The 27,074-nt window shown below is 38.6% G+C and overlaps 1 protein-coding gene across 5 annotated transcripts in view; it reads left to right on the top strand.

Annotated features, from left to right (window-relative positions):
* Positions 1–27,074, top strand: part of GLG1 (golgi glycoprotein 1) — a 159,675-nt gene that overhangs the window by 66,110 nt on the left and 66,491 nt on the right. For 4 of the 5 annotated variants that reach the window (NR_027265.2, NR_027264.2, NM_012201.6 and 1 more), the window contains exon 2: positions 8,852–8,884. The exons of the other annotated variant lie outside the window; for it this stretch is intronic. Coding sequence is in view for 2 of the 4 variants with exons in the window: in NM_012201.6 (NP_036333.2) it covers positions 8,852–8,884 (33 nt within the window). In the remaining 2 variants the exon portion in view is untranslated. The remainder of the gene's footprint in view (positions 1–8,851; positions 8,885–27,074) is intronic. 5 annotated transcript variants of the gene reach the window in all.

Genomic DNA, 27,074 nt, shown 5'->3' with positions numbered 1-27,074 from the left:
TAGTTACAACCTCACAGTTCAGAAATATGACCTTTTTGATGTATTTCCTACAAAGCAGTTTATAAACATTAGCGCCACTTTCATTACATGTGGACACCGTAACTGACTTTATTCAGGCAGCTGAGCAGTGAAAACAAGGCCTTTTATCTCTTGATAGCTGTGTGCCTGCCGTGGCTAGGAGCCAAAGGGATAAACCTGTCCAAGGTTCTTCCCCTCGATGCCAAAGTGGAATCTGAACAAGCATTTGATAGAGTGCCTGACTCTGTTTCCTTCCCCCATAATTTAGGTAAAAATGGTTAACACCAGCACCAAACTGTATTCTAGATTTCTAAGTCATCTCCTAGGGAGAAAAAATGAGTGGTGGGAGGAAAAAATTTTCAGATAGTAGACTGTCATGGGGATGATTTTTAGTCCCAGCAGACTTAAAAACTCTTGTCATTGCAAGACAATCCTTACGTTTCTTAAATGTTAGGCAGTCCCAGATGGGAATTTGATGAAAAGATTGGTTGAGCTCTGTATATGAAAAGAAATATCTCTAAATGTTTCCCTAAAGGGATGGCCTATCTCCTATAGTTTATGAGCACCTTGTTTCTAATTCCTGGTAGTAAAATAAATGGGAAATATAAGGAAAGAATTTACATTTTTTTATACACGGTAGAAAAAAATTACATGTTTTTGTAATTTACATTTTATAAAATTTACAGTTTATACTTCAAAATTTACATTTAATACTTTATAAAATTTATGTATTTTTATATTCATGGATTAATAAATATTATAATCCAATGTAAAAGTCATTACATTTGCCATAATGTAATGATTCAGTTTTTGTTCAATAACTAAATTGCTATATATATATAATATATTATATATATAAAATATATATAATATATATATATAAAATATATATAATATATATATAAAATATATATAATATATATATATAAAATATATATAATATATATATAAAATATATATAATATATATATATAAAATATATATATATAAAATATATATATATTTGTATTTGTTTATTTTTTCACTCACAGGTCAACCATGAACTATATTCTTATTTGTTATTTTTTATTTCCTGCTTTGGGCATAGAAGATGAGAAATTATACTAATTTGAGTGTTTCCACTTGGTCAGTTTAACTAGTGTTAGAGTTTTCTTAAAACTAAGATGTAATTTGACTTCTCAAAGTAAAGTTTGGGGCAGAGCATCTTCTCTAGAGAGATGGATCTTTCTGTCAGGGAGTCAGGAGTTACTCAGTCTTTTTTGGGAGATGGAGGGAGGTCAACCATTAGGTCCAAAGCAGTGGTTTTGAGTAATTAGCGATTGCTCTGTGTTTTCATATTTTCAGAATAGGGATATAACCTCACTGAAGATGACTTAATTAGTACTTGACAAAGCTAAAAGTCCTGTCAGTATATTTATACCTATGTGTAAGTATGCTCTCTGAGTCATTCTGCTAATTCCCACTGTAAAATACGTATACCCTTTTATTTTATTAGAATTAAAGGGCTTTGAGGAGATTTTTCATTTTAAAGGTACAAGACAAGTTTTAACGTCAACATAGCCCACTCACTGTTCTATATTTATGTGAGACCTTTTAAGAACCAGGGATAAATGAGCTCTAATTTGTCTGTGAGGGTCTTTCCCCGTCTATCTTTAAAACTTAACGTGTTCCTATAGGAGTAACTATATAATATTTGACAACTGTTATCCCACCGTCCACTTGGGAAGCACACAAGTAATAAAAGTAAATCAAATTATGACACTGTGTTTAGCATGACATCTTAATTTGAACTATGAGAAACCATTATTGGACCAATGTTGGATTTTTACTAAAGACTTGTAGTTGTCCTAGCACGTATTAGGAGATGCCAAATGAATAAGCCTAGGAGTGATTGTCATGGGGTCCCTCACTTTCTCAGCCATCGGCACAGAATGTGCCTTTTCAATGCCACCCACAGCCTAGTGCTCCACCTTTCACAGCCTACCTCTCATCTGCCTCAGCCTGCACACAGCATCCTTAACCAAACCACAACCGCCTATAAGACTTAATTCAAATGTACCCTCCATGAAACTTTCTCTGACTGACTTTATTGCCATACTCATCTCATAGGGTTATTGGTGCTTTTTTCCTTCTTTAAAATATCAAGTCCTCCTTTCCCCCTAAAAACTCCACATTCAGCCTTGTATGATGATTAGATATGCACTTGAGAGCCAGCTTCTGTATCTCATGTCTTTTTAAGAAAAAAAAAAAAAAAAAAATCTCAAAATCTCCCGTTGGACCTGTACAGTAACTCCTTTTTGAAAAGGTAGTTGAATGCTAAAGACTTAAATAAAAGCAGCTACAACTCTTTAGTGAATCAGAACATTGTTGGAAGGCATAAAGCCTGTGCTGATCACTGTCCTTTTGGAAAAACAATACTCAGCCACTATCCCTGGGTACAAATAAGAAAAATAAATTCTGATAGAGCCAGAATAAGGCACTAAGAGGAAAGCAGTTCTAAACCTGAGGATCGAGATTGCATTTAGACTTGCTCAGGAGAGTTTCCCGGGGGTAAAAGATTGGGTTTATTTTGTTAGAGACCAGCTACATTATCTTCATTGTCATTGGGGCTTTGGACAAGGTTAATAAATGAAGTGTTCGTGTGATGGGAAGTTACTGGGTTCTTAATGAATAAACTCCCAGAAGACTTGACTTAATACTGCAGCAGAGTGTCTCCAATTGAAAGGAGGCATTAGGTTATCGCGTGACTTCAAATTTTTCTAAGGCTGTAAAAGCACTGATACTGTTGGCATCTTTTGTTTGTTTTCTCCTGAGGGATTCAAAAACAAAGTTGGTTGTCACTTAATTTAGTACCAGTTATCTTAGAAAAAGGACCCTATTCCTTTATGTGATCTGATGTAGTTCAGCTTCAGTGGAAACTGTAGAATGTTCCATATTTTAGACAACATCCAACTCCCAAGCATTTCTGTTTCAGAAACTGGGACACCTTCCAAGATAGCTTTATGAATCCTTTAATTTCTCCTTCCAGACTCATTAACTCAGCCTGTTCACCTTGGGGAAATCATAGTTCCAGACTTTCTGTAAAAACCTTCCTCCTAAGTGAATGCGGTAGTTGATTTGAGAACATTCAGACTCAAGCTTTTCAGTAGTTTATTCTGAAACCTGTTTGTTGTGACTTTGACTAGGAGAGATTAAGGTGAAACAGTAGTAACCATCATAATATACAAATTATCTGCATTAAAAAAACTTGAAATTCAGTAAGTACATTTTTAAATTCCACATCTCAGATTTTATGGACTCATAAAGCTGGAAAGAACCGCAACCAATGTTTGACCAGTATTTCTTAATTTTTTCTTGTCTCGTGGATCTTTTTGAGATGGTGATAGCTGTTGTGGATATTCTTCTCAGAAAAATATACATACACACAAATGCTTGCGTTCAATTTCAGGATATCTCAGACTCCCAAAGCCTGTTCATGGATTCCCACTCTAGTTCAAAGCCTGTTGTTAGGGGTTTAGAGAAGTTAAGTGATGTACCTAAAGTCACACACTTCTATTGCTAACTACTATAGAAAAGTGGCAGGGTTCTTTTTTGTTTTCTGTTTTTTGTGAGGTTTTTTGTTTTGTTTTTTAACCATTTCCTGATACACTCATCATGTTCTTTATTGAAGTCAAGCAGGTGTCTCCAAGTACTTGGTGCTTTTCCCTTTACTGCCTTTGTTTGCTGTATCATTTATACAGCATTACCCAAGTTCCTTCTCTGTTTTAGTCACTGATGCATTGGGATGGGGATGTGCTAAATTCTCTTCATTTTCTCATTCTTCTGTTTATAATAGTTTACTTATTGATACTAATATATGCAATGTCAGGAATCATTTCTCTCATATTTGGTCATTAAATTAGCAGCTATTTATTATACTTTTCATAACTTTTTTTCTTACAGTTTTCCATAGTAAGAGGACAGTTTTATTTCCAATGAGTAAATACTTGATGTAAGAGATCCTTCTTTTTGAAGCCCAGACTTCTATCTCCAGATAAGGAGTAGCTGATAATGTGACATAGCTCAGCTTCTAATTTGATGCCTCCACAGGCTAGGAGCCAGCACTTTGCCCCTGGTTTGAAGAATGCAGGTAGAGGTAGGAATCTTAATGATGAGAAGAAGTTTTTTTCCTCTATCTTGGTCATGTTCTTCCTATCATTTGAAAAATCAGTAACCATTCCCCCAGTAGATACATACTCATAAAATATTAGTTACACCCATGTTATATGCATTATAAAAATACGTTAAAACATAAATTAAAGGATAAGCTTTTTTAAAAACAGAAGCTCTGTTATTTTCTTCCTGACCCCCAAGGGATCATGTAACTTCTTCCTTGAGGAATCACTCCACTCCTTTTTGGAGATCACTCTTCTAATTCTTTAGGCCTATCTCAAGTCCCTCCTCTTGCTTGTTTGATTTCGCTATTTTAACTGTATAACTGGATTGTAAACAACTTGAGATTAGAGACCAGATAGAATGTTGTCTTTGTATCCTGCAACAATGCCTAGCACAATTTTGAGTTCATCATCATTATTCAATATATACTTGTTGGCTAATTTCTTGGGATCATCTCAGAGCATTATTTCACTAATTATTACCAAAGAGGAAGAAAAAAAATCCTCAGTTTTATCTTATTTTAGTAATTATGGGTGTTATTCCTCATGCTATTCATCTTCTAGGATTAGAGACAAGTGAGCCTGTCTGCACTTAAAGTTTTGTGGAAATAGATGTACTATATCTGATGAAGTGGTTTAATTGGGACATAATGAGAATGGTGCAGTATGAGAACCAAACCCGAATCAGCACCTGCATCTGTTTTCGTTCCTTGAGATTTCTGTTCATTGGTTCTTTATCACATGACTGAGTGCTGAAGCATAGTGTTTTCTTTTTATTTATTTATTATTTTTATTTACTTTCTCGAGTTCATTTATTCTGACATTATTGATGCACCCACCATTCCCCGGGTAGTATAAAATACTCCTTTGTATTTTATATTTCGTTCTCTCTCTTCTCTTCCTCTAAATCACCACTGTGTTCTTGGATTCTAAAAACCCCTCTAAATTTCTGAAATTAATTGTCACAATTATGCTTAACAATTCTTCATAGCGATTTGGTTCCATGAATCTCAAAGACCTAACATCATAACCTTGTTTTTACGGCATTCCTATTCTGTCATCTTTTCTTTCTGCATAGAGAAACTAAACCTAGGAAAAAGCTGGGCATACTGGCTCATGCCTGCAGTCCCAGCACTTTGGGCAGGTGAGGCAGGAAGATCACTTGAGACCAGAAGTTGAGATCAGCCTAGGCAACATAGCGAGACCCGGTCTGTACAATAAAATTTTAAAAAATTAACCAGCTATCATGGCACATACCTTTAGTCTCAGCTACTAGGGAGGCTGAGGCAGGAGGATCAGTTAAGCCCAAGAGGTGGACGCTGTATTGAGCCATAATGGTGCCACTGCCCTTCAGCCTGGCAACAGAACAAGACTCTATCTCAAAACTAAATGAATGAATGAATGCAAAAATAAGACGCATTTATAGTCAGTTGCAAATCAAGATAGCAAAAGAGATGAAAAGCAAGCACTGGTGTCCAGATTTGCACTTTTGTGTCTCCATGGATTATGTCATTTCTTCATGAAAGGTACAGTAGTGCTCTGTGCTTTCCAATATAATTCACTAATTTTAGATCATAGCTGTTACAGGTTCTAATTTAAAGGCTTTGATATTTTTATTTTATTTGTTTGATAGATATATTAGTCATTTTTTCTTCATAACAGACACCCTCAAACTTTCATGGGCTTAACTCGAGGCTTGTTTTTCTTTCCCATGGGTTATTCGAGATGGCTTTGCTTCAGGCTACAGGTTGAGGGTTAAGTTCAGGTCTGCTCCACATGTCTCTTTTCTTTGTACTACCATGTTCTCATGGGGAATGGCAGGGGTGCAGGAATACAGGCCAAACTACCCAGGCACATTTAAATCCTCTGCTCATATTGTATCTCCTAAAACTCCATTGGCCTGAGCATGTCAGTGGCCTATATTATATTATGTTACATTAACAGTATTACTAAGCACACAGTACTGCACCTCTTAGGAAGGAATGACATCATCCATGGAGACTCAATTAACTGCAAATGTGGACTGCAGTGCTTGCTTTTCATCTCTTTTGCTATCTTGATTTGCTCAACGTCAGCGGAGCCGGGTGTATACTCAGTTTATAGCAGGAGGCGGTACAGACTTACAAAACAGAGGATCTGGATGTAAAATCCTATGCAAGTGAAAAATTGGGAGAAATAATCCAGTCTCCCGCTGTAGGGAAGCAAGTCATTAAAACAGTAATTAATTTGCTAATATAGTCCTGTGGACTCTAAACATGACAATACATTTCTTTCTATGGGGAGCTTACATCTTATTTGACATTATTTTGAAAATTCTCCAATGCTCTAAATTTCTTTCAAGAATGCACCTTTAATCCAAATTTGTTGTTTAGTAGAAATGAGTATAAGTAGAGAAGATTGTGATATTAATTGCCTTCCATCCCTTGTTTGAGAAAGAGCTAGAATTGCTAATTGATTGGGAAAACTTAAAGGATAGATTTTAAAAGGATAGTGTAGAAAACTGTCTAAGAAAAAGCATTCTTGTAAATAAACTATTAAGAGATATAAGTTAAACTTCAGATTGAGGTGGTGGGAACAGAGTTAAGCTAGGTCGACTCAGCATGGAGGCTGATTTCTGAGACTGAGAAAGGCACCTTAAAAAGGCATTAAAGTATCTGCTATTAGACAAGTAGGGAGAAAGTTCAAAAGTACTGTGTTATATAATAGAATCTTATGATTACCTAGCAACCTAATTAAAGTCAATTTTAATATATGTTGTAAGTATAAAAATGAGTTTGTATGTTGCTAATGCCTACTGAATTCTGCAGTGGAATTAATAATTCCATAGGGAAACCTTTTTCTTCTTGAAATAATGCTAGGTGTGGCTACTTGATGTGTTCTATTTTCTTTATTGCCTTTTCTTTATCCTTGGATAGAAAACATCTGTTTATTTTAAAACTAGCATGTTTTGCTACCTAAATTGATAATATTTAAGTTATAGGCACACAGAATTCACTTTATATAAACAGATTCGAATACTATGGAAACTCAAAATAAATTATGCTTTTTTTTTGAGATGGAATCTCGCTCTGTTGCCCAGGCTGGAGTGCAATGACACAATCTCAGATCACTGCAATCTCTGTTTCCTAGGTTCAAGCAATTCTTCCACTTCAGCCTCCTGAGTAGGTGGGACTATAGGCGCGTGCCACCACGCCTGGCTAATTTTTGTATTTTTACTGGAGACGGGGTTTCATCATGTTGGCCAGGCTAGTCTTGAACCCCTGACCTCAAGTGATCTGCCTGCCTCGGCCTCCCAAAGTGCTGGGATTACAGGTGTGAGCCACTGCACTCACCCAGGAAATGGTGCCGCCTTATGGTGTGTTTTATTGCAGTTGTGTCTCCTTTGAAGGCACGAACAAGGAAACTAAAGGAGTTATGTATTGCAAAGCTATGTAATACTACGTGAAACCTAGTCCACACTTTTTTTCTGTCATGGAATTGAAAGTTTTGTTTTGTTTTGTTTTTTGTTTTTTGAGACGGAGTCTCGCTCTGTGGCCCAGGCCGGAGTGCAGTGGTGCGATCTCGGTTCACTGCAAGCTCCGCCTCCCGGGTTCATGCGATTCTCCTGCCTCTGCCTCCAGAGTAGCTGGGACTACAGGCGCCTGCCACCACGCCCGGCTAATTTTTTTGTATTTTTAGTAGGGACAGGGTTTCACTGTGTTAGCCAGGATGGTCTCGATCTCCTGACCTTGTGATCCGCCCACCTCAGCCTCCCAAAGTGCTGGGATTACAGGCGTGAGCCACCGTGCCCTGCCTGAAAGTTCATTTTATCTCTGGTATGTGTATCTGGCTTTACAAAGCAAATGTATCCATAGGAATATATTTCCAAATGTTTTTTTTAAAAAACTTTTTGTTATGAATTATAGACTCACAGGAAGTTTCAAAAACAGTACCTAGAGATCTTACATACCCATCACATAGCTTCCCCCAATAGCAGCATTAGGCCAATTTAAAAATCATTGATGGGGGCTGGGAACGGTAATTCACATCTGTAATCCCAGCTGTTTGGGAAGCTCAGGTGGGTGGATCACTTGAGCCAAGAGTTGTACACCAGCCTGGGCAACATAGTGAAACCCCGTCTCTATAAATAATACCAAAAAAATTAGCTGGGCTTGGTGACATTGCGCCTGTAGTCCCAGCTACTCGGGAGCCTGAGGCCAGAGGATCACCTGAGCCTGGGAGGTTGAGGCTGCCATGAGCCATGATTGCGCCACTGCATGGCAGCCTGGGTGACAGAGTGAGACCCTGTCTCAAAAAAAATAAAAAATAAATAAATAAAAATTGAGCGACTTTCTCTGCACTCTATAATAAGTGAATTATAAAGTGTCCTGTAGGAGTCCTTATGTCATTGTTGCTTTATTTATTGCTTTAGCATATTCTTCTCCATTCTCCCCATCTTCACATTGCACCATCGGGAAGGGGTTAAGTCTCATGTACCTTTCTGGTACATTTCTCCCCAACAGCCTAAAAGATATGCAAGCTCCATTTTACTCCTTATGTTGAAGAAGCATATTTGGTTGAATATTCAGATTTCTTGTTTTGAGTTTATTTTGGTGGTGTTTGAAAACTTGAAAGGTTCTCTATATATATATATATATATTTTTTTTTTTACATCATCTCTTCTTTTTTTTCTCTTCTAGCCTGAAAATGAAATTTCTTCAGACTGCAATCATGTAAGTATGGATTTTCTGTGATGCGCCATATGTGCTTTATAGATACGATGACAGATTTCGGGATGCTCTTCCTGTTGTTCTGGGAAGTGCTATGTTTTCTTACAGTCTTAATCTTAAAAGGATGACAAACTTTAAGGATGCTGGTAAAATCAACAAATAACCCTTCATTGTAGAAGCCTGCAGGTTCTCCCAAATAATATTTACGTACTTAAGTTTTTCTTCAGTTACAGCTACCATGTGAAAATAATTCTCTGCTTATCAAGTTTACAACTTTAGAATTTCCTGTTTTAAAGTTTTCTCATTTACTTATCACACAGTCATCTTCTTTTTGCCAAACGCTATAGTAGCACATTAAAAGGAGACTGATGTGAAATCAACTCTGTGCAAAAAGTATTGGGTGCTTTGGTAGAAGTCTATACAGAAGACACTGGAGACACAAAAATGAATTTTGTCCAGGTGAGTTGATGTCAGAAAAGGCTTAATAATGGAGATGAGGCCGGGCATGGTGGTTCACACCTGTAATCCCACCTGTTTGGGAGGCTGAGGCAGGTAGATCACTTGAGACCAGGAGTTTGAGACCAGCCCAGCCAACATGGAGAATCCTGTCTCCACTAAAAAAAAACAAAAAACAAAAATTAGCTGGGCATGGCGGTGCATGCCTTTAATCCCAGCTACTCTGGAGGCTGAGGCAGGAGAATTGCTTGAACCCAGGAGGCGGAGGTTTCATTGAGCCGAGATGGTGCCACTGCACTCCAGCCTGGGCAACAGAGCAAGACTTTGTCTTAAATAAATCAATAAATAAAAGAGGTGACACTTGATCTGGGTCTTAGAAGAGGCATCTATATGTGGCAAAAGTCACTCTATCACATTATAGAAGGTAGATGGGACCGGAGGCTGTATAAGCAGAGACAGATTGGCTATTTAGGTTAACTACTTACTCTTACGAAAACCTAGGTAAGTCAAGTACAAAATAAAACTAGAAGAATACTAGAAGATTAGAGGGAAGGCTTTTCTAAATATGACACAACCCCAAATGATGTTTTAAAAATATATATCTGCATCTATATCTGATTACATTGAAAGTTTTCTCCCCAAAAAATGTTTTGTAAAAAAGTATTCACAATGCAGATGAAAAGGACTATATTTGTTAATAGAAAATGCTATTAATAAACATAACAGACATGAATAGAATGTTCACAGGAAAAGAAAAAGGTGTCCAATAAACAGTAAAAAGTTTATTCTCCCTCAGAATCAAAAGCATAAAAATTCAGCAAAAAATGAGTGCACTGTTGTCATCCATTTGATTAGCAAATATCAAAAATTTGATAAATGGGTTCGCACCTGTACTCCCAACTACTCGGGAGGCTGAGGCTGGAGGACCCCTTGAGCCAGGAGTTCGAGGTAGCAGTGACCTACGATCACAAAACTGCACTGCAGCCTGGGTAACAAAGTGAGCCCCCCATCTCTTAAAAAGAAAAAAAAAAAAAGGATAAATACACAGTATTGATAAGGATGTGTGTATTTAAGCATTCTCTAGCCCATAGATCAAAAAACTACAACACTTAGGCCAAATCCAGTCTACTACCTGTTTTTATACATAAAATTTTATTGAAACAGCCACACCATTTATTTATGTATTGCCAGTGGCTGCTTTTCACACTAGGATGGCAAAGTTGAGTAACTGCAACAGTGACTACAGTTCCCTGAGAACTGTTACTTTCTGGCTCTCTGCAGAAGAAGTTGGCTGAACCCTGTTCAAGCCTATGTATGGGAATAAAAACAAGCTATAAAACAGTCAACCTAAAATGCATATGTTTTGACCCAGCATTTCTACTTCTATGAATTTATGGATAGTTAAAAGAATGGATAGAGATGTGTCTATAAAAGGATATTTGTTGTGGCATTATTTATAAAGCAAAGGATTAGGGGAAAACCTCAAAATCCATCAATAGACTGAATCTGACAGAAGAGAAACCCAGAAAAAAGTTGATGTGTGCCTTGGAACTCTCAAAGAGCCAGCCGGGCGCAGTAGTCCACACCTGTAATCCCAGAATTTTGGAAGGCTGGGTGGATCACCTGAGGTCGGGAGTTTGAGACCAGCCTGGCCAACATAGTGAAACCCCTCTACTAAAAATAAAAAAATTAGCCAGGCGTCGTGGCACACCCCTGTAATCCTGGCTACTCAGGAGTCTGAAACAGGAAAATCGCTTGAACCGGGGAGATAGAAGTTGCAGTGAGATCGTGCCACTGCCCTCCAGTCTGGGTGACAGAGTGAGACTCCGTCACAAAAAAAAAAAAAAAAAAAAAAGAACTCTCAAAGAGCCAAGGAATAGGAAGGATACGATACTGCTGAAAATGGGGGACAAATAGTATCCAAAAAACAGGAGATTTGGTGGAAGGTCTATGTAAGAAGCAGTCAGGACTCTTTAGAGAACAATTATATAACCCAGAAATTCTATAATATAGCCATTCATAATGTCCCGCATGCTATCAGAAATGGCTGGATATGAGAAGAAGCAGGAAGATATCAAGAGATAAAGTAGCCAACAGAGAGAGATCCAGAGAAGAGGTAATTCATATATTGGAATTATTAATAGCAGACAAGGACTTCAAATAACTAATAAAATAGAGGAAAATAAAATATTTTCCTATAAATAAAATAGAGGAAAATAAAATATTTTCCTATAAATAGAGGAAAATTAAAATGGATGAAAATATGAAGTATTTCAACCGAGAATTAGTCTTTATTAAGAAAATCAATTAGACATTTTTGGACTAAATGTAATTTCAGAAATTAAGAACTTATGGGTAGTTTTAAAAGACAGCTTTAGTGGACATAAAAACAGATTCATGGCCAGGTGCGGTGGTTCACGCCTGTAATCCCAGCACCTTGGGAGGTCAAGACAGGTGGATTACTTGAGGTCAGGAGTTCGAGACCAGCCTGTTCAACACGGTAAAAAACCCCATATCTACTAAAAATTACAAAATCAGCTGGGTGTGGTGGCAGGTGCCTGTAATCCCAGCTACTCAAGAGACTGAGGCGGGAGAATTGCTTGAATCTGGGAGGTGGAGGTTGCAGTGAACCACTATCGTACCACTGCACTCCAGCCTGGGCAACAGAGCGAGATTCTGTCTCAAAAAAAAAAAAAAGGCAGACAGAATGGGATAGAAGCAGTATTCGAAGAAATAATGGCCAAGATGTTTTCCAAATCTAATGAGAGGCATTAACCCATAAATTCAACGAACTTAGTGAACCTCAAGAGAAATCCATACTCACCTAACAATTTTTTTTTTTTTTTTTTTTTTTTTGAGACAGAATCTCGCTCTGTCACTGAGGCTGCAGTGCAATGGTGTGATCTCGGCTCACTGAAACTTCCGCCTCTGGGGTTGAAGTGATTCTCCTGCCTCAGCCTCCTGAGTAGCTGGGATTACAGGTGCCCACAACCACGCCCAGCTAACTTTTGTATTTTTAGTAGGGACAGGGTTTCACCATGTTGGTCAGGCTGGTCTCGAACTCCTGACCTCAGGTGATCCACCCGCCTCGACTTGCCAAAGTACTGGGATTATAGGTGTGAGCCACCACACCTAGCCTAGACACATTATTAACAATCTGCCAAAACGAAAAGATAAAAAGAAAACTCAACAAGCAGGCAGAGAAAAAGAGACATTCTCTTGAGGGAAGGAAAATGACAGCTGGCTTCTCAACAAAGCAAGCAGTAGAAACTAGAGCAAATGAAACAATAAATGTAAAATGCTGAGAGAAAATGCCAACATGGAATTCTATATCCAGCAAAAAATACCCCTTTAAAAAATGAAAATAGGCCAGGCACCGTGGCTCACCCCTGTAATCCCAGCATTTTGGGAGGTAGAGGCAGGCAGATCGCTTGAGGCTAGGAGTTGAAGACCAGCCTGGCCAACATGGTGAAATCCTGTCTCTATTAAAAATACAAAAATGGCCAGGTTTTGTGGCTCACGCCTGTAAACCCAGCAGGCAGATCACTAGGTCAGGAGATCGAGACCATCCTGGCTAACACGGTGAAACCCCATCTCTACTAAAAATACAAAAAAGCTAGCCAGGTGTGGTGGTGGGCATCTGTAGTCCCAGCTGCTCGGGAGGCTGAGGCAGGAGAATGGTGTGACCCTGGGAGGTGGAGCTGGCAGTGAGCCGAGACTGCACCACTGCACTTCAGCCTGGGTGACAGAACGAGACTCCATCTCAAAAAAAAAAAAAAAAAGAATTAACCACCGCACCTGTAATCCCATCTACTTGGGAGGCTGAGGCATAAGAATCACTTGAACTGGGGAGGAAGAGGTCGCAGTGAGCTGAGATCCCGCCACGGCACTCACCCCTGGCCGACAGAGCAAGACTCTATCTCAAAAAAAATAAAATAGGTGTTATCAGACAAGCGAAAGCTGAGAATATTCATCTCCCACATTTGCACACTGTGAGAAATCCTAAATTCTTGAAGGTAAAAGGATCACAAATTGAAGCAGAGAAGTAGGAGCACTAGAAGAGAAAAATAATTGATACGTATGACTATTATTCTTTCATGCTTTAAGATAACTGACTTGGCCAGGCGTGGTGGCTCACGCCTGTAATCCCAGCACTTTGGGAGGCTGAGGTGGGTGGATCACCTCAGGTCAGGAGTTCGAGACCAGCCTGGCCAACATGGTGAAACCCCATCTCCACTAAAAATATAAAAATTAGTTGGGTGTGGTGGTGCACACCAGTAATCCCAGCTACTCAGGAGGCCAAGGCGTGAGAATCACTTGAATCTGGGAGGTAGAGGTTGCAGTGAGCCGAGATAGCGCCATTGCACTCCATCCTGGGCAAAAAGAGCAAAACTCCATCTCAAAAAAAAAAAAAAAAAAAAAGAACTGACTTAAGCCAAAACAATAACAGTATACTTTCAGATTATAACATGTAGAATAAAATATATGACAACAGTAGCACAAAGGGTGGGTAGGAATAAAAATATAATTTTACTTTGGAATATTCTTATATTGTGTATGAGGTAGCATAATATCAATTCAATTTCGACTGTGACCAAGTTAAGGATGTATAATCAGGATACAGATTTGTTTCACATAATGATTGTTCAGTTAATGGTATTTAGCCATCATGACCCTTACAGGTTGATAGCACTTTACCCAAAACACAGATTATGCCCTGAGACATTATTGTTCTAAGCAAATTTGCGTGTAGCGACTTACTCAACACTAGTCAGACTATCACATGGAACAAATTTGAATTCTACCTCATAGTTAGGAGTGCTAAAGGAGTGATAGCAGGAAGTGATCAAGTAGCATCTTCTGTTCCTCTTCAGTGTGTCTTGCACATACAGTATTTCTCCATGTCAAAAAGTGGTTTTTGGTGTTGGTTTTGTTTTGCTTTTTGAGACAAGGTCTTGGTCTGTCACGCAGGCTGGAGTGTAGTTGTGTGATCACGGCTCACTCCAGCTTCAGTCTCCCAGGCTCAAGTGATCCTCCCACCTCAGCCTCCTGAGTAGCTGGGACTACAGATGCACACCACCATGCCCTGCTAATTTTTGTATTTTTTGTAGAGATGGGGTTTCACTTTGTTGCCCAGGCTGACCTCTAACTTCTGGGCTCAAGCAATCCAACCTTCTCAGCCTCACAAAGTGTTAGGACTACAGGTGTAAGCTGCTATACCCGGCCCAAAGTGTATTTTTTAAATCTCAAAGATTCATCTACAGGTAATGTCATGAATCTTTCCACATCAGTTTTTTCTAAGTGCCAAAGTTCTAAGGAAAAGAATTACCATAAAATATGTCTTCATACTGATACTGAATGCCTGCCTCATAGTCAGTCATCTGATTTTACATTACTTTCCAGAGAATGATTCCCTCATACCCTGCCTTTACCAACCATCACCAACTCTCAAGTCTTCTCTTTCTCCCTTGGAGAGTACAATGACCTTCCATTATGTTATATTTTATGTACAAGTTATATTTTACTTTAAAACTGTTTGTTACTTATATACTATTTTCATTTTTCAATTGATACTTCTCTCTCGGAAAATTGTTTGGGTATCTGGCCAGCCTGAATAACTTCTATTTATTTATTTATTTATTTTTGAGATGGAGTCTTGCTCTGTCTCTATTTTGTAGAGATGGGGGTCTTGCTCTGTGGCCCAGGCTGGTATCCATCTCCTGGCCTCAAGTGATCTGCCTGCCTCAGCCTCCCAAAGTGCTGGGATTACAGGCATGAGCCACTGCGCCTGACCAGATAACTTGAACTTCATCACAATTAAAAACTTTTGTGCATCAGACACTATCAAGAAAGTTGAATGGCAGCCTATACAATGAGAGAAAATACTTACAAATCATATATCTGATAAAGGGTCTAGTATTGAGATCATACAAAAACTCTTCCAACTCTAGAATAAAAAGCAAATTTTAAAACGGGCAATGGATTTGAATAGGCATTTCTCAGAAGAAAATATACAGATAGCCAGTTACACATGAAAAGATGCTCAACATCATTGTCATTAAGGAAATGCAGGGCTGGGTGGGGTGGCTCATACCTTTAATCCCAGCAGTTTGGAAAGTTAATACCGGAGGATAGTTTGAGGCCAGGAGTTCAAGACCAACCTGGGCAACATACGGAGACCCCCTATCTCTACAAAGAAGAATTTTAAAAATGTAGCCAGGCACGGTGGTATGATCATGCCACAGCCTGGGCAACATAGTGAGACCCTGTCTCTTTAAAAAGCAAACAAAAAAAGGAAATGTGTATCCTAACCACAATGAGATATTACTTCACGCTCATTAGGAAGGATGGGTGTAATCAAAAAGGTGGACAATTAACAAATGTTGGTGTGAGTCTAGAGAAATTGCTGGTGGAATGTGAAATAGTGCAGCCACTGTGGAAGACAGATTAGCAGTTCTTCAGAAAGTTAAATAGAGTTACTATATGACCCATGAGTTCCCCTGCTAGATGTATACCCAAGAGAGCTGACACATTTTCACACAAAAATGTGTACATAAGTGTTCATAGCAGCATTATTAGTAAAAGCTCAAAAATGGAAACAGCCCAAATGCCTATTAACTGATTAATGGATAAATAAAACATGATGTGGCCATACAGTGAAATATCAGTTTGCAAAAAAATGAAGTACTAATACATGTTACAACATGGATGAACCTCAATAACTGGACTCAAAAGATCACAAAAAGGACACAAAGACAGAAAGAAGGTTAGTGGTTTCCAGGAACTCAGAGAAGTGGGGAATGGTAGGTGACTGCTAATAGATACAGAGTTTCTTTTGGGGAAATATTCTGGAATTAGTGGTGATGATTGTACAACCATAACCTCTGAGTTGTGCTCTGGAAGGGCGAATTTTACAATGTAAATTCTATCTCAACAGAGTAGTATAACCAGCCCCCATGGAATCACCATACAGCTTCAAATATTAATTCAGATTGGTACTGTGTCATTTATATCCTTATGTACTTCCCCTCCCTTTGTATTCATTTGAAGCATAACCGAGACATCATATCATGTCATCTGTTAATATTTCAGTAAATACTCTAAAGGATAAGGACTTTAAAAAAAAAAAAAGACCATAGTACTGTTGTCATATCTTAAAATACCATAATTCTTTAACATCATCAAATATCAAATTAGCATTCAAATTTCCAATTTTAGCACCCACCCTAGAAGGGAATTTATTTAATCTGATAAAACGTGTCTATAAAAAGGCCTACAGCAAGCATCGTACTTCATGGTGAAATATTAACAGCTTTCTACCCAAGATTGGCAACAAGACATAGTTACTTATTATCGTAGAGGTCCTAGCCAGTGCAGTAAGGCAAGAAAAAAGAAAACAGGTAATAATTAAAAAGGAAAAAATTGAGCTGTCATTTTTTTTATTCTTTTTTTTTGTTTTGAGATGAAGTGTCGCTCTGTCACCCAGGCTGGAGTGTAGTGGCTCAATCTCGGCTCACTGCAGTCTCCACCTCCTGGGTTCAAGTGATTCTCCTGCCTCAGCCACCTGAGTGCTGGGATTACAGGCACATACCACACCCAGCTAGTTTTTGTATTTTCAGTAGAGATGGGGTTTTACCATGTTGGCCAGGCTAGTCTCAAACTCCTGACCTCAGGTGATGTGCCCACCTCAGCCTCCCAAAGTGCTGGGATTACACAGGCGTGAGCCACCGCGCCTGGCCTATTATTTTTTTTAAAATGCACTATCAGCAGAATCATAAATTGTCATTATTTACAGATGAGGTAATTATATAAATAGAAAATCCAAAAGAATTTATAAATGGACCAGCAAGTACTTAACAGATGAACTTAGTAAAGTCTCATGATAGAAGGTCAGTATGTAAAATTTAATTGTACTTTTATATATTATTAACAAGCCAATTTTAAAAATATATTAAAAATTAATATTATTTTAAAGTAACATGTAAAGCATCAAATACTTAAGAATAAATCTAACAAAAATGTGTAAGACCACTCTACAGATAAGTGTAAAATATTATTAAGAGAAATTTGAAGGCCTTTAAATAAATAAATGAGCAGTTGTGCTCATGAGTTGGAAGACTTGGTGTTATAAAAAATGTGAATGCTCATTACATTGACTATAGATTCTGTGCAATCCCATATTTATTGTTAGCAAAATTGCCACGTGATTTTAAAATTTATGTGGAAACACAGAGTACCTGTAACAGCCAAAGCGATCTTGAAGAACCAAGCAGAGAGACTGTACTACCTGGTGGAAGAGTTACCGTAAAGCAGCGGTAATTAAGGCAGTGTGGTAGAAGCAGATTCATACATAAATGGATACTTGAATAAAGAATCTTAACCCTTAATGTATGCCATTCATGGAAAATCCATTCTGAATGCCCTGCAGATCCAAATGTGAAAAGTAAAACAGTAAAATTTCTAAATAGGAAAATATCTTCATGACTTGGAGATTGGCAAAGATTTCTTAAATGGTTGTGTGCCTCTTTTAAAGTATCTCTTGTGCTCCATAAATATATACACCTACTATGTACCCAGAAATTAAAAATTTAAGTTTTCTTAATTGGGAAACAAAAAGCACTAAGTATAAAGCAAAAAGACTGATAAATTGGTTACTTAAAAATCTGTTTCATTAAAGACAGTATTGCTGGGTTCCGTGGCTCTGGCCTGTAATCCCAGCACTTTGGGAGGCCAGAGTGAGAGGACTGCATGAGCCCAGAGTTTGAGACCAGCCTGAGCAACATGGTGAAACTCTGTCTCTACAAAAAATATGAAAAATTAGCTGGGTGTGGTGATGCAGGCCTGTGGTCCCAGCTACTTTGGAGACTGAGGCGAGAGGATCGCTTGAGCCCAGGAGCTTCAGGCTGCAGTGAGCCATGTTCACGCCACTGCACTCCAGGCTGGGTGACAGAGCAAGGTCCTGTCTCAAATAAATAAATAAACAAGCATACAATATTAAGAGTATGAACTGGCAAACCATGGAAAAGTAAAAAAATTGATAATACATACGTCTGACAGTGTATCCAGAATATGTAAAGAAGTCACACAGAGCAACAAAGAAAAGCCAGTGGAATAAAAAAAAATATGTAAGATACTTAATCTGCCATGTCTCAAAGATGACGTCTGAATGAACTAAAAACAATGAAAAGGTGCTTAACTTCGCTTAGTAATCAGGGACGTGAAAATGAAAATCTCAGTGAGATACCAGTACCTTGACAGTGCCAATACCGAGTATCTGTGTGAATGTGGAACAACGGTGATAGTTAGCACAGCTAGTGCTTTCAAAGCTGGCTTGGCAGTATTAGCTAAAGCATAGCAAATGATACAGCCATTTTACTTCTAGGTGTTTACCCTACACAAATACTTGTAAATCTGCCCAAAAGGGCTAAATATTTGTAGCAGCTCGCAACAGCCCTATGAGTAAAAGGTTAGCAAAGCCCTTTTCCCATTTTCATAAGTATTTGAATTCTATTAACTTCTTAATTTCCCTTTCCCTTAACCTAATGAGAGCAAAATATCAACTAAATGCCTAGGCAGCATTGTTTATAATTAAAATGACCCTGATTGGTAAATTTTAGATGGGCTGTGAAGAGCTGTTAATGAATTATAAATGCCCAATCGGGATGCCGTACTTTCATGCTTTGCTGAATGTGGTGACTCATAAGCCTGGATGTATCCTTTGCAGGGACCCTGGAAACTCTGCCCAGAGCGTTGTTACAAAGGATATTGGTTCCCATGGGGCCTGAGGCTTCTGAGCCAAGGCACCTCCTTTCCATGCCCCTGTGACTAGACAATAGTCACAACGGCCATGGGGAGAAAATGCCTCCAGATGGCTCCATGAACTGCTGCCAGGACTTACATTGAGGAGGGACAGTTGATGCTGTCCTCCTGGCAATTTGTTGTTATTGTCTTTTTTCAGCCCAGACCTTTCCATAGAACCTCAGACTTTAGCTGCTGATTCCACATTTCTACTTTGTCTAATAGTCATTTCCAGAACGAAACTCTTGATTTTTCTGCCCCTAAACCTTCTCTTCCTGTAGTCTTCCCCATCCCCACTAGTGGCTCCTCTATTCTTCTGGTTGCTCAAATCAGAAACCTTGATTCTTCTCCTCTTACACTTCACATTCAATCCATTAGTAATCTTCTGGCTGCTCCTTGAAATATATCCTGAATTTGGCCATTTTCACTGCTATTGCCCTGATACAAGTCATCATCATGTCTCTCCGGGACTTCTGTGTTGGCCTCCTAAGCAGTCTCCCTCCTGCTTAGTCTATCCTACAGCTGGAATGATCCCTCTATCATGTTAGTTCATATTACTGCTCTGTCCAAAAACCCCTAAAACTTTTTTCTCACTGATTAAACTCCCAAATCTTTGTGCCCTGCAAGCGTGCAAATACCAACTCTCTGACCTCTTCTCCTACGACCGTTGCCCCTTGCCACCTCTACTTAAGCCACAGTGTCCTCCTTGCTATTCTTCAGATACTCAGAAAATGTTCCTGACTCGGGACTTTTGCATTCGCTATTCTTTCCACATGGAACATTCATCTTTCGTGGCTATTCATTTTCCTTCTCTTACTCTCTTATGGAAAATAGTACCCCATTCCCCTACTTTCAATTCACCTTGCCCTAGCTTATCACCTGACACATTTACTTGATAATTTGTGCCTTATCTTTCTCTCTTTCATAGAATGTAAACTCCTTGAAGGCTGTTGTCCTTTTTGCTCACTGCTGCCTGTCGGTAAAATTTCACAATCCTGAGAATAAACAAAATACCTTAAAGCTTTCAGAGAGAAGAAAAACCCAGGTCAAAATCAAAGTAGTGGCAATTTGAGTAATATACTTCCCATTAGCATTCCTAGAAGCTAGAAGACAGTGGACAAGTGCTTACCGAAAAATGATATCCAGTCAAAGTAATATAAAGATATTTCTGGCATGCAGTTCTTCCAAACATTTATGACTCATGCATATTTGTTGTTGTTGTTGTTGTCGTTTGAGATGGAGTTTCGCTCTTGTTGTCCGGGCTGGAGTGCAATGGTGTGATCTTGGCTCACTGCAACCACCGCCCCCTGGGTTCAAGCGATTCTCCTGCCTCAGCCTCCCAAGTAGCTGGGATTACAGGCATGCGCCACCACGCCCAGCTAATTTTGTATTCTTAGTAGAGATAGGGTTTCTACATGTTGGTCAGGCTGGTCTTGAACTCCTGACCTCAGGTAATCCACACACCTCGGCCTCCCAAAGTGCTAGGATTACAGGTGTGAGCCACCGTCTCCGGCCACGTGTTTTTAAATAAAGCCCCTGGAGGATGTGCTTAAAGAAAATGAGGGAATACACCAAGGCAGAGAAAGATTAAGAACCCAGTGACTAATGAATCAGCCTGAGAGAAAAGCAAAGGAAATTCTGAGGATGCTGGAGAAGGATGATGCATGTACAGAGAAAATAGCCAGTCCCTGATGGAAACAGGAAAATGAAAAGACTGCAAGATGAATGTCTCACTGGACACAGCAGAACATTTTGAGAGGAGATTTACATTTCTAGTAAAGAGATTGAGGATTAATTAATAATGGGTGTATAGGAAAATAGGCCTATGAAATAAGTGACTTAACTATAGAGCAAACTAAAAGTCGTATAGGAAAATAAATACAATATTCTGTGTCTCAGTATATATAACTTTTTACATAGTCAATAATGTGAATACTGAGTATCTAACAACATGATGATTTAACTGTATGGGGAGGAGTGGGACCAGGAAGATGGGTATGAGAATTCATTCCTCATCTTTTATAGTGTAAGTTACTACAGAATATCTAAAAGTGACAAGTCAAGAAATGACAGTTTAAGCATGTAGTTTAAAAATATGGAGGTAATTAACGTAAGCAAAAAGAATTGAAAGTGCCCGCTTCTGGGGAGTGGGTGGGGCTTTGGACAGGGAATTTCTTGTTTTGATTTTTTAAACTAACTTTATAGAACCGTTTGACTCAACATAGCTTTGACTTAAAATTTTAAGGGTGAATAAAAGAGGAAGTAGATTAAACGAGCTATAGACTAAATTTTCTTTTTTTTTTTCAAAAACCAGTAACATAGTCATTTATTATCAATATCAAGTATGTATTGCACATAATCGTATGTACTATACTTTTTTTTAATTATTATACTTTAAGTTATGGGTTACATATGCAGAACGTACAGTTTTGTTACATAGGTATACATGTGCCATGGTGCTTTGCTGCACCCATCAACCTGTCACCTACATTAGGTATTTCTCCTAATGTTATCCCTCCCCTAGCCCCCCACCCCCAAAAGGCCCCAGTGTGTGATGTTCCCCTCCCTGTGACCATGTGTTGTCATTGTTCAACTACCACGTATGAGTGAGAACATGTGGTGCTTGGTTTTCTGATCTTGTGATAGTTTGCTGAGAATGATGGTTTCCAGCTTCATCCATGTCCCTGCAAAAGACATGAACTCATCCTTTTTTATGGCTGCATAGTATTCCACAGTGTATATGTGCCACATTTTCTTAATCCAGTCTATCATTGATGGACATTTGGGTTGGTTCCAAGTCTTTGCTATTGTGAATAGTGCCACAATAAATATACATGTGCATGTGTCTTTATCATATAATGATTTATAATCCTTTAGGTATATGCCTAGTGATGGGATTGCTGGGTCAAATGGTATTTCTAGTTCTAGATCCTTGAGGAATCATCACAGTGTCTTCCACAATGGTTGAACTAATTTACACTCCCACCAACAGTGTAAAAGCATTGCTATTTTTCCACAACCTCTTTAGCATCTGTTGTTTCTTGACTTAATGGATATTAGCCCTTTGTCACATGGATAGATTGCAAAAATGTTCTCCCATTCTGTAGGTTGCCTGTTCACTCTGATGATAGTTTCTTTTGCTGTGCAGAAGCTCTTTAGTTGAATTAGATCCCATATGTCAATTTTGGTTTTTGTTGCCATTGCTTTTGGTGCCATTGCTTTGCCCATGCCTATGTCCTGAATGGTATTAATACAGCCCAGGTTTTCTTCTAGGATTTTTATCATCCTAGGTCTTACGTTTAAGCCTTTGATCCATCTTGAGTTTATTTTTGTATAAGGTGTAAGGAACGGGTCCAGTTTCAGTTTTCTGCATATGGCTAGCCAGTTTTCCCAACACCATTTATTAAATAGGGAATCTTTTCCCCATTGTTTACGTGTGTCAGGTTTGTCAAAGATCAGATGGTGGTAGACATCTGGTGATATTTTTGAGGACTCCATTCTGTTCCATTGGCCTGTATATCTGTTTTGGTACCAGTACCACGCTGTTTTGGTTACTTTAGCCTTGTAGTATAGTTCGAAGTCGGGTAGCATGATGCCTCCAACTTTGTGCTTCTTGCCCAAGATTTTCTTGGCTATGCTAGCTCTTTTTTGGCTCCATATGAAGTTTAAAGTCGTTTTTACCAATTCTGTGAAGAAAGTCAGTGGCAGCTTGATGAGGATAGCATTGACTCTATAAATTACTTTGGGTAGTAAGGCCATTTTCACGATATTGATTCTTCTATCCACGAGCATGGAATGTTTTTGCATTTGTTTGTGTCCTCTCTTATTTCCTTGAGCAGTGGTTTGTAGTTCTCCTTGAAGAGGTCCTTCACAGCCATTGTGAGTTGGATTCCTAGGTATTTTATTATTTTTGAAGCAATTGTGAATGGGAGTTCACTCATGATTGGGCTCTCTGTTTGTCTGTTATTGATTTATAGGAATGCTTGTGATTTTTACACACTGATTTTGTATCCTGAGACTTTGCTGAAGTTGCTTATCAGCTTAAGGAGATTTTGGGCTGAGATGACGGGCTTTTCTAAATATACAGTCATGTCATCTACAAAGAGGGACAATTTGACTTCTTCTCTTCCTATTTGAATACCCTTTATTGCTTTCTCTTGCCTGATTGCCCTGGCCTGAACTTCCAATACTATGTTGAATAGGAGTGGTGAGAGAGGGCATCCTTGTCTTTTGCTGGTTTTCAAAGGGAATGCTTCTAGTTTTTGCCCATTCAGTATGATATTGGCTGTGGGTTTGTCATAAATAGCTCTTAGTATGTTGCGATATGTTCCATCGATACCGAGTTTATTGAGAGTTTTTAGTTTGCAAGGCTGTTGAAGTTTGTCAAAGGCCTTTTCTGCATCTATTGTGATAATCATGTGGTTTTTATTACTGATTCTGTTTATGTGATGGATTACGTTTATTGATTTGCATATGTTGAACCAGCCTTGCATCCCAGGGATGAAGCCAACTTGATGGTGGTGGATAAGCTTTTTGATGTGCTGCTGGATTTGGTTTGCCAGTATTTTATTGAGGATTTTCAGCTAGATGTTGATCAGGGATATTGGTCTAAAATTCCCTTTTTTTGTTGTGTGCCAAGCTTTGGTATCAGGATGATGCTGACCTCATAAAATGAGTTAGGGAGGATTCTCTCTTTTTCTATTGATTGGAATAGTTTCAGAAGGAATGGTACCAGCTCCTCTTTGTACCTCTGGTAGAATTCGGCCGTGAGTCCACCTGGTCCTGGACTTTTTTTGGTTGATAGGCTATTAATTATTGCCTCAATTTCAGAACCTGTTATTAGTCTATTCAGAGATTCAACTTCTTCCTGGTTTAGTCTTGGGAGGGTGTATGTGTCCAGGAATTTATCCATTTCTTCTAGATTTTCTAGTTTATTTGCATAGAGGTGTTTATAGTATTTTCTGATGGTAGTTTGTATTTCTGTGGGATCGGTGGTGATAGCCCCTTTATTATTTTTTATTGTGTCTATTTGATTCTTGTCTCTTCTTTATTAGTCTTGCTAGCAGTCTATCTATTTTGTTGATCTTTTCAAAAAAACAGCTCCTGGATTCATTGGTTTATTTTGAAGGGTTTTTTGTGTCTCTGTCTCCTTCAGTTCTGCTCCGATCTTAGTTACTTCTTGTCTTTTGCTAGCTTTTGAAATTGTTTGCTCTTGCTTCTCTAGTTCTTTTAATTATGATGTTAGGGTGTCAATTTTAGATCTTTCCTGCTTTCTCTTGTGGGCATTTAGTGCTGTAAATTTCCCTCTACACACTGCTTTGAATGTGTCCCAGAGATTCTGGTGTGTTGTGTCTTTGTTCTCATTGGTTTCAAAGAACATCCTTATTTCTGCCTTCATTTCGTTATGTACCCAGTAGTCATTCAGGAGCAGGTTGTTCAGTTTCCATGTAGTTGAGCAAGTTTGAGTGAGTTTCTTAATCCTGAGTTCTAGTTTGATTGCACTGTGGTCTGAGAGACAGTTTGTTACAATTTCTGTTCTTTTACATTTGCTGAGGAGTGCTTTACTTCCAACTATGTGGTCAGTTTTGGAATAGGTGTGGTGTGGTGCTGAAAAGAATGTATATTCTGTTGATCTGGGGTGGAGAGTTCTGTAGATGTCTATTAGGTCTGCTTGGTGCAGAGCTGAGTTCAATTCCTGGATATCCTTCTTAACTTTCTGTCTCGTTGATCTGTCTAATGTTGACAGTGTGGTGTTAAAGTCTCCCATTATTATTGTGTGAGAGTCTAAGTCTCTTTGTAGGTCTCTAAGAACTTGCTTTATGAATCTGGGTGCTCCTGTATTGGGTGCATATATGTTTAGGATAGTTAGCTCTTCTTGTTGAATTGATCCCTTTACCGTTATGTAATGGCTTTCTTTGTCTCTTTTGATCTTTGTTGGTTTAGGTTTAGAGTCTGTTTTATCAGAGACTAGGATTGCAACCCCTGCCTTTTTTTGTTTTCCATTTGCTTGGTAGATCTTCCTCCATCCCTTTATTTTGAGACTATGTGTGTCTCTGCACGTGAGAGGGGTTTCCTGAATACAGCACACTGATGGGTCTTGACTCTTTATCCAGTTTGCCAATCTGTGTCTTTTAATTGGAGCATTTAGCCCCTTTACATTTTTTAAAATTATACTTTAAGTTTTAGGGTACATGTACACAACGTGTAGGTTAGTTACATATGTATACATGTGCCATGTTGGTGTGCTGCACCCATTAACTTGTCATTTAACATTAGGTATATCTCCTAATGCTATCCCTGCCTTCATTTCGTTATTTACCCAGTAGTCATTCAGGAGCAGGTTGTTCAGTTTCCATGTAGTTGTGCGGTTTTGAGTGAGATATTTAATCCTGAGTTCTACTTTGATTGCACTGTGGTCTGAGAGACAGTTTGTTGTGATTTCTCCTCTTTTACATTTGTTGAGGAGTGTTCTACTTCCAATTATGTGATAAATTTTAGAATAAGTGCAATGTGGTGCTGAGAAGAATGTATATTCTGTTGATTTGGGGTGGAGAGTTCTGTAGATGTCTATTAGGTCTGCCCGCTCCAGAGCTGAGTTCAAGTCCTGGATATCCTTGTTAATTTTCTGTCTCGTTGATATGTCTATTATTGATGGTGGGGTGTTAAAGTCTCCCATTATTATTGTGTGAGAGTCTAAGTCTCTTTGTAGGTCTCTAAGAACTTGCTTTATGAATCTGGGTGCTCCTGTATTGGGTGCATATATATTTAGGATAGTTAGCTCTTCTTGTTGAATTGATCCCTTTACCATTATGTAATGGCTTTCTTTGTCTCTTTTGATCTTTGTTGGTTTAAAGTCTGTTTTATCAGAGACCAGGATTGCAACCCCTGCTTTTTTTTTTCTTTTGCTTTCCATTTGCTTGGTAGATCTTCCTTCATCCCTTTATTTTGAGCCTATGTGTGTCTTTGCACATGAGATGCGTCTCCTGAATACAGCATACTGATGGGTCTTGACTCTATGCAGTTTGCCAGTTTGTGTCTTTTAACTGGGGCATTTAGCCCATTTACATTTAAGGTTAATATTGTTATGTGTGAATTTGATCCTGTCATTATGATGCTAGCTGGTTATTTCGACCGTTAATTGATGCAGTCTCTTCATAGTGTCAATGGTCTTTACAATTTGGCATGTTTTTGCAGTGGCTGGTACCGGTTGTTCCTATCCATGTTTAGTGCTTCCTTCGGGAGTTCTTGTAAGGCAGGCCTGGTGGTGACAGAAGCTCTCAGCATTTGCTTGTCTGTAAAGTATTTTATTTCTCCTTCACTTATGAAGCTTAGTTTGGCTGGATATGAAATTCTGGGTTGAAAATTCTTTTCTTTAAGAATGTTGAATATTGGCCCCCACTCTCGTCTTGCTTGTAGGGTTTCTGCAAAGAGATCTGCTGTTAGTCTGTTGGGCTTCCCTTTGTGGGTAACCCGACCTTTCTCTCTGGCTGCCCTTAACATTTTTGCCTTCATTTCAACCTTGGTGAATCTGACAATTATGTGTCTTGGGGTTGCTCTTCTTGATGAGTATCTTTGTGGTGTTCTCTGTATTTCCTGAATTTGAATGTTGGCCTGCCTTGCTAGGTTGGAGAAGTTCTCCTGGATAATATCCTGAAGATTGTTTTCTAACTTGGTTCCATTCTCCCTGTCACTTTCAGGTATACCAATCAAATGCAGATTTGGTCTTTTCACATAGTGCCATATTTCTTGGAGGTTTTGTTCGTTTCTTTTCACTCTTTTTTTATCTAATCTTGTCTTCTGGCTTTATTTCATTCATTTGATCTTCAATCACTGATCATTTCTTCCGCTTGATCAAATCGACTATTGAAGCTTACGTATGCTTCACGAAGTTCTCGTACTGTGGTTTTCAGCTCCATCAGGTCATTTAAGCTCTTCTCTA

The sequence above is a fragment of the Homo sapiens genome, chromosome 16 (genome assembly GCF_000001405.40).
Source record: "Homo sapiens chromosome 16, GRCh38.p14 Primary Assembly".
NCBI lineage: Eukaryota > Metazoa > Chordata > Mammalia > Primates > Hominidae > Homo > Homo sapiens.
Note: the sequence above shows the minus strand (reverse complement) of the source record. Positions and strands in the feature narration are given on the sequence as shown.